The sequence below is a fragment of the Homo sapiens genome, chromosome 8 (assembly GCF_000001405.40).
Source record: "Homo sapiens chromosome 8, GRCh38.p14 Primary Assembly".
Taxonomy (NCBI): domain Eukaryota; kingdom Metazoa; phylum Chordata; class Mammalia; order Primates; family Hominidae; genus Homo; species Homo sapiens.
The window spans coordinates 92,944,532-92,960,196 of record NC_000008.11 but is presented as its reverse complement, the minus strand read 5'-3'; the positions used below and the strand labels follow the sequence as shown (position 1 = coordinate 92,960,196).

The 15,665-nt window shown below is 33.5% G+C and overlaps 1 protein-coding gene across 14 annotated transcripts in view; it reads left to right on the top strand.

Moving 5' to 3' along the window:
• Positions 1 to 15,665, top strand: part of TRIQK (triple QxxK/R motif containing) — a 134,132-nt gene that overhangs the window by 57,469 nt on the left and 60,998 nt on the right. For 10 of the 14 annotated variants that reach the window (NM_001171795.2, NM_001171797.2, NM_001171796.2 and 7 more), the window contains one exon: positions 5,633 to 5,791. The exons of the other annotated variants lie outside the window; for them this stretch is intronic. The gene's annotated coding sequence lies outside the window, so the exon portion shown is untranslated. The remainder of the gene's footprint in view (positions 1 to 5,632; positions 5,792 to 15,665) is intronic. 14 annotated transcript variants of the gene reach the window in all.

The following is a 15,665-nucleotide window of genomic DNA, read 5'->3' as shown; positions in this document are numbered from 1 at the left end:
TAGTTGTTCCTGAAGAAAAGAACAGAGTATTTGAAAGAAAAATAATTTTAAAAATAAATAGGAGAAAAAACTTTCCTGAGCTGAAAAAGACCTATGAAGGAAGAAAGGGCCTTTTTTATGTAAGGCATGACAACTTAAAGAGACACAAAAATCACAAAATTGTCAAATTATGATGATAAAGAAAATAAATGTTTTCCATATCAAGAAAGAAAAGAAAAAAGCATGTTATTAGGCTGGCCTCAGACTTCTTTTCTGTAGTATGAAATGCCAGAAAACAACAGAGCAACATGTTTATAGTTAAAAAAATTCCCAGGCAGTTTGTAATTCTTGTGTGATGGCAACAGAAAACCACTCTTACGTATACAGTCCGTCCCTGATTTACAATGGTTTGACTTATGGTTTTTCAACTTCATGATGGGTTTATCGGTATGTAACCCTATCATAAGTTGAAAAGCATCTGGACTTAAGATGGTTTGATTTACAATATTTCAATTTTACTATGGGTTTATTGGGGTATTAAATGCATTTTCGATTTAAGATATTTTTCACCCACGGTAAGTTGAGGAGCATGTGTATAAAGGAATCTAAACTACTTCGTGTTTCCTTTTGAGGAAAAAGACCCGAAGATACCAGCTTATTATGAGATAATGCAATATCAACACAAAAGCCATTTTGTGTGTGTGTGTGTGTGTGTGTGTGTGTGTGTGTGTGTGTGTATGCATATATATAACTGATGGTATACCCCAGACTTTAAATAGTTTTGTTAAATATAGCTAAAAATTGACTGCTAATATAAAACATTGTTTGCATGAGAAGATAATACTACACAATTAATTCAATAAGAACGACCTAGATTTAAATAAAATTTTGTGAACTTCTGACTCATTTATGCCAGAGAGGAAACCTGATAATCCAAGAGTATGAATAGATTAAAAAATATCCCCAAACCATTGAATAGCAAACTACGACCAGCAAGCCAGATCTGGCTCACCTTGTGTATCCTATGATCCGTGAGCTTGGAATGGTTTGTACATATTTAAACGGTTGAAAAAAATCAAAAGGATAATGTGGACATGGGGAAATTATGTAAAATTCAAATTTAATTGTTTATAAATAAAGTTTTATTAGAAAACAATCACGCTCATTTGTTTATATGTGATGTGGAAATTATGTAAAATTCAAATTTAATTGTTTATAAATAAAGTTTTATTAGAAAACAATCACACTCATTTGTTTACGTATTGTCTATGGCTGCTTTTACAGTACAATACAATACAGCAGAGTTGTGTAATTGCCGCAGAGGTGCACATGAGGCACTTTCATTGCCTTGCTCTGCATCTCAGCACACTAAAATCATAGTCACATTGTTATAATTTGATTTTCCCTCTTGACATCCAAAGCCTATAATATTTGTATCTAGAAAGCAGAAGAAGTTTTCCAACTCCTGACCTGAATTGTAAGACATAGTGTACTTTTCTTTTCAGTTCAAGGGACTCAGATTTATTCAATTTTTGCCCTTCAGTGTTTGACTTACCCCAGCATCTGTTTGGTCTTATATGGGTTAAGGTTAACCTCAGGAATCTATTATTATTTGAATTTTATAATCCACATCTTCTCTTTTCCATCTCTATTCCATAAATGAAACAAAATTCATGTAAATATTTTACAGTTTTATTTCCAAAGATGAAAATCAGGTAATATCTCAATATTATAATAAGAAATAATGGATACTATTATATGCCAAAAATCTAGATGTTTATAGAGATAAGTATGTACAATATTTAATAAGTGAGTTATGAGTTACATATCAATCAGATAACCAAAGATTTGTCCAGCAGGTATAGGTGACTTGTACAGAGAAAGTACGTAATTGATTGAAATGGGGTCTTGAAGGGTGCCTATGAATTCAAGTTAGACAAGGCTAGGGCTGAGCAACATTGAAATAAGTATAATAAGATTTGTAAAGCTATTAAGCTGTCAATGGGTTCTTGTGATTGGAAAATCAAAAGAAGTTTAGTGATTGGGGCCTAATCTAGAGAAAAGTGGCTAGAGTTGAGGCAGTATGAACCTGCTGGCAAAGGCTGAGGAGGCTCTTATATGACATGCAAAACTATTTGCATCTTGGAGGCAATGAGGATCCATTTCAGGTTTTCAAATGGAGAGCAACATGATCAAATTGGTATTTTGAAATGGTTCTGAAGCTTTTTCAAATACTGTACCACACTTTCTAAAGTTCTTTAATTCTATGATTATACTTTCATGGAATAAAAGTTGTACTGAGGTATACACAGGTTTTCCTTTAAGGGGGAATATATAAACAATCCCCTAGTTACCCTAGGAACTTACGTGGTAGGTAAACTTATGTGAGCAGGCTGTTAAATAAACGTAAATCATTAAACTTTTTTAGAATATTAAGAAGTTACTTATAAAGTAAAAACGTAATCTGTTCTGGCTTCTCCTGAGTAGATAGAACTAACTGCTTTAAGACAAAACATAATGTATATGCTTGCATACTGCACCCCAAAAACTTTATGAAAGTTTGAGATGATAGAAGTTTAGTTATAGACCACTTGAATATATTTAGATTTTCTTTGCTTAGATATTTAAAACCAATGTTTAAATTAACACTTTGCATTTCTTCTACTAAAATTAATACGTTTGTTTGGAATGCCTTTGTAAAATTTAACTGAAAACATATCCCCTTTGAACCTTGATTTAGATATATAATGAAAATAGTTACTCAGATGATATTGTCTTATATTTATGTAGATCTTTATATTTGACACATTTTCATAAAAATACTTCATTTCATTCTTACTTCACATATATATGTGTATATATGTGTATCTGTATGTGTATGTATACGTAAATATACATATATTTTATGTACATACATTAATTTTATGTATACATACATGCATATGTATATTTATATACATACTTACATATATGTATATATGGTTATGTACACATGTATGTATATGTAAAAAGGCTCTTACTCCATTTTACAGAGGTAGAGTCTGTAGTTCTGGTGAGTGGTCTGAACATACTCTAATACATAGAGGAAAGAGAGTAAGCTCTATAATCAGATAGATTTGAGTTCTAATCTCTGCTACTTTCCCTGTCAACTTTGCATGCTTGGGCAAGTCAGTTAATCATTAGGAAACTCAATTTCCTCAGTTGGGAAATTGTACCTGTCATGCAGAAATGTTATGAAAATTTGTGGTATGTGATGTGCTTACCACAGTGTTTGCCACAGTAGTTGCTAGTCAACAAATGCGTAGCTGCTATTATTACTAATATTAACAATCATCATTAATAAGGCTCCCAACAACCATCACTTGCATTTTCAAAATCCAAAAGTTCTTCAAAATTAAACTTTGTCAAGTTTTTTACAAACTTAATTGAGACAAAAAACAGACTTGAAATGACATGGGACTATTTATGTAATTAAATGGCATAAGATTTTTCTATGAAGTATTAATATGCTTCCCCCACATCCTTTCAGGAGTGTTATGTAATTATGGTAGATGAGGTTTATTACATTTTTATAATCTAAAATCATTCAAGACATATCTGGCCCAAACATTTTAGATAAGGACTGTAGAGTTGTATTTTTATGACACTTGTATTTTAATAACAGCTTTATTGAGCTATATTTCACAATCATAAAGTTTATCATTTTAAAGTGTATAATTCAGGAATTTTTACAATATTCCCAATATTGTGCAACTATCTAATTTCAGAATATTTTCATTATCTCAGATAGAAATTCTGTACCCATTATGTCAGTTCCCATTCCTTCTGCCTCTGCACCCTTAAGCAACCACTAATCTATTTTCTTTCTCTATTGACCTTCCCATTCTGGACATTTCATATAAAGGGAACAATAAAAGTTATGTATTAAGTGGACTTTTGTGACTGACTTCTTTCACTTAGATACATGTTTACAAGTTCATCCATGTTGCAGCATTATCAATATTTCATTCTTTTTAATATTCCACCATATAGATATATACCACATTTATATACCTGTTCATCATGAGTTATTTCTACTTTTTGGCTATTAGAATAATGCTGCTATGAACATTCGTATATAAGTTTTTGTGTGGAGATGTTTTCATTTTTCTTGGATATATACCTAAGACTAAAATTGCTGGTCACGTGGTAACTCCGTGCATTTTTGAGGAGCTGCCAAACTTTTCAAAGTGTGGCTGTAACATTTTACATTTCTACCAGCAATGTATGAAGATTCCAATTTCTCCACATTCCTTATCTCCACTTGCATTTTTTTAAAATAGCCATCCTACTAGGAGTAAAGTGGTATCTCATTGTGGTTTTTATTTGGATTTTCCTAATGACTAATGATGTTGAGCATCTTTTCATGTGCTTTTTGGCAATTTGTATGTCTTCTCTGGAAAATTGTTCAAATACTTTGCCCATTTAAAAATTGTATTATTTGATCTTTTATGTTGAGTTGTGAGAGTTCTTTATATATTCTGGATATAAGACTTTTATTATATATATGGTGTGCAAGTATTTTCTTCTATTCTGCAGACTGTCTTTGCACTTTTTTGGTCATGTTCTTTAAAGCATAAAATTTTTATTTTAATGGAGTTCAATTTGTCTGTTTTTTATTTTGTTGCTTGTGCTATTGGTGTTGTATCTAAGAGACTATTTTCAAACTCAAAGTAATAAAGTTTTATTCCTACGATTTCCTTTAAATGTTTTATAGTTTTAGTCTTTGCATTTAGTTCTGTGATTCATCTTGAATTAAATTTCGTGTTTGGTGTGAGGAAGGGTCCAACTGTATTATTTTGTAGCACCTTTGTTAAAAAGGATTATTCTTTCATATTATTACTCTTGACTTGTATTGTTAACACTATTTAAAAGTAACCCCAAAATTGCTATTTTTAATTATCTCATTAGAATTAGTAAAGTAAAGCTTGTGTTCCCAAATAGTTGGGGTTAAATTTTAAGTTGGTATTATTATTAGATCCCAGTTTGGAAATACTTAAATTTTATACTCTTATCCATATGAGAGCAATTGCAGTGTAAAACTTGACATAAGTTCATTGCCTGACATTTAATATGTATTTGGTAAATATTCACTGAACAAAAATGAATAAATCATGCATTACCTGCTTATTATTCCATGTTGCTTTTAAAATGTGCATTTAGAAAGTAACATATACTTAAACATTTACGACTGAATAAATACAATTGTTTTTAAAGTCAACCTTGTGCAAATTAAAATAACAGAAAATAATTTTATATCAGTATTTTTACATTTATGCTTGACTTTAGAAAACAGTGGAAGTATCTCCTGCTACTTTTCAGATAATTGTTTAAGACACACTGGGTCACATAAATTTAAATAGATTCTTCTGTTACAGGACTTCTCAGAGCCTTCATAATAATATAAAAATGTGCCTTGTTAAAATGGGGCATAATATGCAACATTTTCCAATTATATTTGGCATAGAAACGTATTCAGATGGAATAAATAACAGAGTTAGCAAACCAAGAAACACCTTTTGGAAATGATTTCCCTGTGATTTAAATTTGTGGACTATTAGGGAACTGGAGATCATCCATTTACTATTTCTATATACTTTGTTTTGAATTTCAGTAAGAAAAATCACCAAGAATATTATTTTTGGTATTTGGAATTGAATTTGCCAGGAATGCAAGCACTGCTACCTAACTAAAGACCTTGGCTTTGGAAACATCTTACCCCTTGGCAGCTCTCCAGAGTTTAGACTTGGCAGCATCAAAGACACAACGCAAGGTGTGTTTATTTGATTTAACATTTTGCAAAAGGTGTTTTGATTTGTGGTTTGTTTTCTTTCACTTTGTACTTATTGCTTTGGGTTGTTTTTTTCTGGCAATGAACCTGGGTTCCAAGCATAGGTTTTTCTTATGGAAGGCAGTTTTACAATAAGGAAATGTTTTTACTTGTATTTATTTTGTGATATTTCAGCAAATCCAAATAAATGTAGTAACATTTATAAAGCTATACATTTATAACTGATTTATTTGTTAAATATTTAGTATTATCAATTGTCTGTTAAAGATTTGTTGCTACATTAAATGCTTGGTCTGTCTTGATGTTCAGTACATTATTATACTTTGGTATATTGCAATATTTTGATAATTATGTATTGGTTTTAGTCACTGTTCCTGCATATTAAGTAATAAACAGATTAATATCATCATAAAATATCATTTACTCAGCAATATTTCTTAGTAAATTGATACATCCATTTTTCTTATGTATTGTGGAGAGAGGAAATATGACATAAAATGGAAGAATATGGGCCTCTGTTTATCTCTGACCTCATCGCTTACTGTTCTTTCCCACTCCTCACTCTACTCAAAGCCTTTAAATAGCTCTCCATTTTACTCAACATCAAATCTAAATAAAGCTCTTAAACTGGTCTAAATGTCTCTACAGTACTTGAACCTTTGTTATTTCTCTAATTTCATCTTCAACTCTGCTCATCGTTATTCTCTTGCCCTGGGCATACTGCCTCCCTTTTTGTTCTCTGAACGTGCCAGGCATTTTCTCATCTCAGAATTTTTGCACTTGCTATTCTTTCTACTGAATTGCTCTTCATCCATATATAGCAATTGTATGACCAATTTCCTTACTTTTCTTTTGGTCGTTATTAAAATTTCACCTTCTAAATGGAGTCTTACCTGATGACCATCCAAAGCTTTATATTCTTTCTTTGCTCTATAATTTTTATCACTATCTATTAAACTATATATTTACACTTATTTGTGTTGCTTATTATCATTATCCTTCATAAGAATATAAGGCATATGAAGGCAGGAATTTTGGTTTGCTCTGTTTTCACTCTATCTCTAGTAACCGGAGTGGCCCCTGGCCCTTGATGAGTGAACATATGAATGATCAATGAATCCAGAAAATGTGTTTTAACTACTTACTATGAGCTAGGCATTAACAGTTCCTACCTTCAGGAGTATAGTTTACAAAGGAAATGGATAATTCCAGCAGCCATTTTACTATAGTATTGTGTTATAATAAGAGCATGAATAGAATGCTGTCATCACTTGGAGAAGCAGCATTTAAATCAGACTATGTTGTACTTATGAAAGGCTGCTGGGGAAAAGTAACCCTTTGTATCAGTCAGAGGAGCTCAGGTTATGCTGTAGAAACAAGCAAGCCCAAATTTCAATGTCTTAACACAACACACAGACTACATATCCAAAATAAGTTGGTAGAATGGTTCTGGACCCAAGATATTGAAGGTTTTATCTGAATATACTTCCATGATCACTGCAGCAGTGGGAAGGGAGTGTGGCTCGTTATGCAATGGCATTTAGAGTTTCATTGGTCAAAGCAAATTGCTAAATTTTGAATGGGGAACTATGAAGTGCAGTATTGCCTTCTATCCAGAGGGAAAGGGGAATTGTAAGATTAATGAGTTGAATTAATGACTGTCATACCTTTGTACTGATTTAAAGGAGTATAAGATATCCAGGTAAAAGATATTTAAAAGCATTTTCAGATGATACACCTAGGTATAGTTTTTTTTGACATTTATCCTTTTTGGTGTTCTTTGAGCTTCTTGGATTTATGGTTTGGTGTCTGACATTTATTCTCAGTCATTATTGTTTCAAATATTTCTTCTGTTCTTATCTCTTTTTCTTCATCTTCTGATATTCCCATTATGCGTATGTTATACCTTTTAGAGTTGTACCACAATCTTTGGGTATTCTGTTCTGTGTGTGTGTGTGTGTGTGTGTGTTTTATCTTTGTTTTCTGGTTTTGGAGGTTTCTATTGATTTACCTCAAGCTTAGAGATCTTTCCTCAGCTAGTGTTCAATCTATGAATAAGCTCATCAAAGGCACTCTTCATTTCTGCTATTGTGTTTTTGATCACTAGCATTTCTTTTGGTTCCTTCTTAAGATTTCCATGTCTTTGCTTACATTCTCCATCTGTTGTTGCATGGTGTCTACTTTATCCATTAGAGCCCTTGGCATATTAATCATATTTATTTTAAGTTTCCAGTTTGATAATTTCAACATCCCTGCCATATCTGGTTCTGATGCTTGTGTATCTCTTCAAATTGTGTTTTTTTTTTTCCCTTTTAGTATGCCTTGTAATTTTTTCTTGATAGCCAGATATGATGTACTGGGTAAAAGGAACTGCTGTAAATAGGCCTCTAGTAACATGGTGGTAAAGTATGGAGCTATGTGGTACACTCTGTAGTCCTATTATTAGGTCTTAGTCATTTAGTGAGCATTGGCTTTTGGACTGTGAACTTCACAAGTGTTTTCCCCTCCTTTAGTGAAGACAGGATGCCTGGAGTTGAGTATTTCTCTTCCTCCACATGGAAAGCTAGAGTGGGCTAGAGTTGGGGGTTTTCCTTTCCCCAGATCAGTTAGGCTCTGACAGTACCCAGCAAGTTAGCCTTTGATTAACTAGTTTCTCCTGAGGACAGATCTTGTTAAGAATGACAGAGTGCTGTAGTGTATTTCAAAATGGTTCCTTTTCCCCTCCCACTGGGATTTTTCTCAAGTATTTACTGTGAGAAGCTAGTCGAGCTCCTGGGGGTAAAACTCACAGAGTGTGGGAGTCCTTCTCTGTCTTGGTTCCCCTAGAGTTTTTCATTCAGACTTTTTCATCCTGAGCCTCTAGCAATTTGTCAATTACAGTTCAGGTTTTTCTACCACAGCACTGGTTCCTGTGACGATTTCCTCTCACGGGTTTCTGTCTGGTAAGCTGTGACTCTCTGCATTTGCCTATTTCTCCAACCTTGAGAGTCAGAGTTGTGCTCTGTGTCCTCATTTTTCTTAAGAATCCAAAAAGAGCGCTGATTTTTCAGTCTGTTTAACTTTTTACTTGGAAAAGGGATGGAGTAGTGACTTCTAAGCTCCTTACATACAGAAATGGAAACTGGAAGCCTATGATAGATTTTTTAGATCATAGATTTTTTTAGTAAAAAATTTTCAGTTGGCCCTCCATATCAAGGGTTTTGCATCCATGAATTCAGGCAATTGCAGATCAAAAATACTCAGGATAAAAAAAAAGCAATAAAAATAGCCATACAACAATAAAAAAATAACAGAAAAATACAGTAAAACAATTGTTTACATAGCTTTTACAGTGTATTAAATATTATACATAATCTAAAGATGATTTAAAGAATACAGGGGAATGTACAACATAGGTTAATGCAAATGCTACACCATTTTATGTAAGGAATTCTAGCACCTGTGGATTTTGGTTTCCACAGGAGTCCTGGAACCAATCCCTGATGGCTATGGAGGGAGACCTGTATAATGTTATACTAAAGTTTAATATTCAAAAAGAAAATAGAAAAGTAGAATATTTATGGAAATTTTCTTAAAGGTTTTGGAAGATATTCGTTGGAATGTACTATAAGGGCTTTTCTAAAATTTTATTTCTTGTTTGCTATTATGTGTTAGACCTAGGGTTACTTTAAATATTTGAGATGCTAAACTTATCATTGGAAATTAAAGGTTTGAGGCTCTTATGGCAGAACCAGTTTTATCTAAAGTCAGGCTATTGCTCTAGTAAGAGGAACAGTATTAACCTGCACAATGCATGTAGTGGATATATAAAAGGAATTGTGACTTACAGACTTAGTAGAAAAAACATCAAGAAGTTTACAACTCCTAAAGAGAATACAGAATAAAGAATTGTGGAAGTGTTTACCTGAGAAATTTTTTCTTAGACTGAAGGATAATTTGCAAATTCCTACAACGATTAGAGATTAAGTTGCCAGCTTTAAAAATGGGGACTAGTGTGTAAGCCTTTTGTATGTACATATGTACATGCACTAAGTATGTAAATACATACATATTGTGAGACTAGGTTCTCACAGTAAATATCTGATAAAAATCCCTGGGGGAGGGGAAAAGGAACCATTTTGAAATACACCACAGCACTCTGTTCTTAAAAAGGTCTCTCCTCAAGAGAAACTAGTGTATATAAAAAACTTACTTTCTAAATGTAACTGTTACTCTACTAATCCAGAGTTTCAAACATGTGTGAACAATAAGATAGCATACATAATTTGGCATTTTAAAAGTTATCCAAAGATACTTTTGTAGAAGCCACTTAGCTGATGATAGAAGATATTTAAAAGATCAAATAATACCAGATATTGTACATCGTATATGTAATTAAGTTGTTATAGGCTTAGTATATTCTGAGAGCATTCTTATATCCTAAGAATCTTAAATAAATGGAGCTCAAAAACGAATGTGAGATCAAGTTTATATTTTTTTCTTTTTTCTTTCTTTCCTTCCTTCCTCCCTCCCTCCCTCCCTTCCTTTCTCTTTTCTTTTCTCTCCCTTTCTTTCTTTCTTTCTTTCTTTCTTTCTTTCTTTCTTTCTTTCTTTCTTTCTTTCTTTTTCTTTCTTTCCTTCTCTTTCTTTCCTTCCCTTTCCTTCCTTTCTTCCTTCCTTCCTCCCTCCCTCCCTCCCTTCCTTTCTCTTTTCTTTCTTTCTTTCTTTCTTTCTTTCCTTCTCTTTCTTTCCTTCCCTTTCCTTCCTTTCTTCCTTCCTTCCTCCCTCCCTCCCTTCCTTTCTCTTTTCTTTCTTTCTTTCCATCTCTTTCTTTCTTTCCTTCCCTTTCCTTCCTTCCTTCCTTCCTTCCTTCCTTCTTTCTTTCTTTTTCTTCCTTGACTGCATACTGCCTCAATAGTAATTGGTTACATCAGCATGATGTAATGATGATGATAACATTTATTGAGCACTTACTATGTGAGAAGCACTTAATATAAATTAACTATTTAATTTAACCATTACAACATAGCCATGTGAGATAGGTATTCTTACTGTACCTATTTTGAAAATGGAAAATAAGCCTATCTTAGTTAATCACCAAAAAGGATCAAAATCAGAAAGGAAACAAGTAGGGAAGAATTAACCTACCCTTTATCAGGCTCAGATTCTCATAAAATATAGCATTAAAAGAAAAAACTTAGACAAATTAAATTTAACAAGTTTAATTGAGCAAAGAATAATTCTCTAATCAGGAAGCCTCCCAGGCCAGAATAGGCTCAGAGAGAGATTAGCATAACCATGTGGTGGAAGATTTATGGACAGAAAAAGGAAAGTTATGTAACAGAAAACAGAAATTAGGTACAGAAACAGCCAGATTGGTTACAGCTTGGTGTTTGCCTCATTTGAGCCTGGTTTGAACAGTTGGCCACCTTTGGCCAAAACTCAGTGATTGGCACAAAAGTCGGTTGCAGTCTGTTTACACATGGAAAGGTTACAGTTTACTGTGCACAGAGAAACCATTAGGTCACATTTAGAATATATAAGGAGGCAGCATTGGGCTAAACTTGACAATTGCTTATTTTTGAAAACTCAAAGCATTTTCAATTAAGTTTACAATAATTAAACATCAAATACGTAAGTTTCAAATTAACATAATTGTCTTTTGGAGAATAGTTACTCAAAAATGTCTATTGAGTATATACTATGTGCAGACATTGTCCTTATTGTTTGAGATTCTTCAGTGTACAAAACAAAGATCCCTGCATTCTTGCTCAGGGAAGTGAGGAAATAAACAGTGGACTAAATTTAATAAGAAAAAACCTTTTAAATATTTTAAACTAGCTGATAGGTATAAGGTAAAACAACTTTCCTGTTGCAATGATATGATATTGATAATCATATTGTTGCAATGAATTCATTGTTGCAATGAAATGATAATCTCATTGTTCATTTCATTTCATAATATCTACATTAATCATGAAAAGGAAGAAATATTGATTGCTGTAAAATGATCATTTGTTTTAAATACTTAGAGATTAAATGTTGTTAACCATTACTGTGGCGAAATTTCTCTGTCTCCTTCCTCTTTACTGAAGATGCAGCATTCCAAGTAAGCAATTAAATGTCATTTGCCATTTGTAGAGCAACTTTGTTTTCTATAATTACAGACCTAGGTGGTCCATAGCTAAAACAGAATAAAAGTGAATTAAAAAATACAAAATGGTCCTAGGATGTATTTTTCCTATGAAGGACAAATGTAAGCATAATCTTTGTGCCTTTACTACAAATGCTCATGATTAAAAATTCAGTTTTGTTCTTTTTGTTTGCAGTATATGGGTGTGTTTTTATGTGTGTGAGAAAAAGAATAAGGGAGAGAATGAATATGAAAAGGAGAATTAATTATGTCAGGGCTCCCTATGTGCATTTGTTTCAGTTGCCTTTCAGAATCCTATCATTGTAATTCAAGGAATTGACTAAACATATATATTTTTAAAATAGAAGATGCCATTTTTTTCCTGTCTTAGTTTTCTTCTACCGTCCCTCAAGTCATCTCAGTGTTACTATACTTAATATTCCTTTACGTTAGATGCAACCAGTATAACCCTCTGGACTGCTCTATTTGGTAAACCATCTTGTATTAATGCTTTCTTGTGAATATTTTAAAGAATTAAGTAATGGATGTAGTTTATGGGCTTCATTATTGAAATAGTAATGGTGTGGTACAGTGAAAAAATTAAATGTTCAATCACAAGGATTAAAGAATGAAAAATAGTGAAGGGCAAAAGAAAAATGAAGGCTTTTTTTTTTTTTTTTTTTTTTTTCCTGAGGCGGAGTTTCACTCTTATTGCCCGGGCTAGAATGCAATGGCGCAATCTCGGCTCACTGCAACCTCCGCCTCCTGCGTTCAAGTGATTCTCCTGCCTCAGCCTCCCGAGTAGCTGGGATTACAGGAGTCCACCACCATGCCTAGCTAATTTTTTGTATTTTTAGTAGAGACAGGGTTTCACCATATTGGCCAGGTTGGTCTCGAACTCCCGACCTCAGGTGATCCACTCACCTCAGCCTCCCAAACTGCTGGGATTACAGGCGTGAGCCACCGCGCCCGGCCACGAAAGAAGGCTTTAAGATAAAGTCCAAACTTGAGTGTATATATATATATATAAACACTGTTGAGAGAGGCATAGGAAGGATTTTTGCAGAGGATAGAATCTGTATTAAAAGAAAAGTCCAGTCTCTTAATAACTAGATTTTTGTACTGTTAGAGATAACATGGAGGTCTTTAGAATAGGCTCTAAAAACCTTTTAGAAAAAGTAGAGGTGACACACGTAGTTAAAAAATAAATGAGCCAGGCGCAGTGGCTCACGCCTGTAATCCCAGCACTTTGGGAGGCCAAGGCGGGCGGATCACGAGGTCAGGAGATCGACACCATCCTGGCTAACACGGTGAAACCCCATCTCTACTAAAAATACAAAAACAAAAAATTAGCCAGGCGTGGTGGCAGGCGCCTGCGGTCCCAGCTACTCTGAGGCTGAGGCAGGAGAATGGCGTGAACCCAGCAGGCGGAGCTCGCAGTGAGCCGAGATTGCACCACTGCACTCCAGCCTGGGCGACAGAGCGAGACTCCATCTCAGAAAAAAAAAAAAAAGTAAAATAAAATAAAAAATAAAAAATAAATGGTAGGGAGTATGACACATAAAGGAGAAATATGGTTCAATCAGAGATTATTATTATGGCTAGTAATGTGAAAAAATTAGAAAACAACACTTAAAAATATTAATTGCTTTAGGCAGTTTATTCATTGAATAAAAGTTGTTTGCTTTCAAAAAAATCTCATTTTCTGATCTGAGCTAAATAGGGCAATTTTAAAGACAGGGGTTCAGAGTAGTTCATCGCCTTTTTATTACATTCATTTTTAAATGCCTTATTTGAAAGGGAATGTCCTGGTTTATGAGTTTCATACTTTTTCCCTTTAAGAAAGAGGCAGATGGTATGAAAACTGGACTCCCTTATTTAAAGGGAATGTTGATATTTATAACCAAGCTTATCTCCAGCAAGATTTGTTTTTTGCAGCTGTTCCAGGTTGGAAAAAAATATTATATTAAAGCTCTGGCTTGTTTTTCTTTCCATATTTAGGGGGGGAGATCTTCAAAATGTGAAAAAGTGATGTTTGATTTTAAACATGAATGCAATGTAAACTGTGATTTTTTCCATCTATATGTGAATTTTCTGTTTGTATGCTGTGATATTACTCTTTTTGTTTCACTGATCTATTTCCTAGATATATCACACTTGAGAAATAATTTACTCATTATTTTCTGTATATCATCAAAGTATCCTAGGAAATGTAGTAGACTTTCATTAAGGCTTAGCCTTTGTTATTATTAAATAGACCACTTTCTAATTTTCCGTTTTGATATTTTAGTCATTTTTTTTTCTGCCCAGAGCATATTTTCACTGGGAAAGTAACTTTATTTTTAGTTCTTAATTATATTATTTAAGTTAAGATATATATTTTTCTTTTTATATTCTATTCTTTGCTTCTATTTTTAATTAGAAATGCTGCTTTTTTCTGGACATGTTTTAGTACTTTTTAAAATAACTTAATTGATAATTAACTGTATTTTATATCCTAAATTTAATACATATAGCTACCTCTTGGGGCAAATGCTAAAACTAGAATGAATATCCATGCCTGCACATGCATATAATCTTTGAACAAATATGTATCTATATACATACCTATATGGTACATAAGGAGGAAAAAACAAATGTAAGTTGGTCACTAAGCTGTCCACAGCTGCACGAGCAAACACAGACTGTTGCTTAGTCATGTGAAGCATCTACAGACAGGCTGTACAGGACAAGTCAGTTAGATTGAGGAAGAAAAATAATTTATCTGCCAACATCTTCCTATCTCTCATTTCACATTGGTCAAAGCTCACCTTATGGTATGTTACTGTCCCTATACTTTCAGATTATATCCCCTGACCCCAGTAGGCAATTGTTGGGGAAGTTAGATCCTACACCGTATGCTTTGTGGCTTCACTGGAATCTGGAGGTGGCAGGAGGAACTGAGCTTCCATGTGTCAGGGTGTAGATATTGCTGTAGCTGTGAAAGTGGTGATAGGGCTGTGCCTTCATCTTCACTACAGGGGAAGCAACGTCAATCAGTGGTACTGGAAAATGAGTTGAAGGTAATGGCCAGTGCTGTCCATTGGGCAAGTGACTGAAAGTCCAGTATGTAGTGAATTGGGTGAGATACATAAATTGGGCCCAACATAGGATAATGGGTAATGATTGCATCTGGCCAGCTTCTTTAAAAATTATTTATCATATGTAAATATGCCTTTGACAGTACCTACACCACAGTCAGCACTCATTATCTATTTAATTTTTTTATTAACTTTGTTTTATTAAGATATAATAAATATACATATTTATAGGGTACAGTAAGATGTTTTAATACGTATATACATTGTGCAAAATCAAATCAGGGCATTTAGCCGGCATATCCATCACCTTATATATTTATCATTTCTTTGTGGTGAGAACATTCAAAATTCTCCTATTTTAAAATATACAATACCATATTTGTTAACCTTAGTTATCCTAATCTACAATAGAACACCAGAATTTATTCCTTCTAACTGTAACTGTGTACTGTTAACCAAAATTTACCTGTACCCTCCTCCTTTTCCCTTGCTAGCCTCTGTTGACCACCGTTCTGCCTTCTACTTTTATGACGTCAACTTCTTTAGATTCCACATGTAAGTGAGATCATGCTGTAGCTGTCTTCCTGTGCCTGGCTTATTTCTCATAACATAGTGTCCTCAAGATTTATCTATGTTGCCATGAGTGCCAGGATTTCATTCTTTT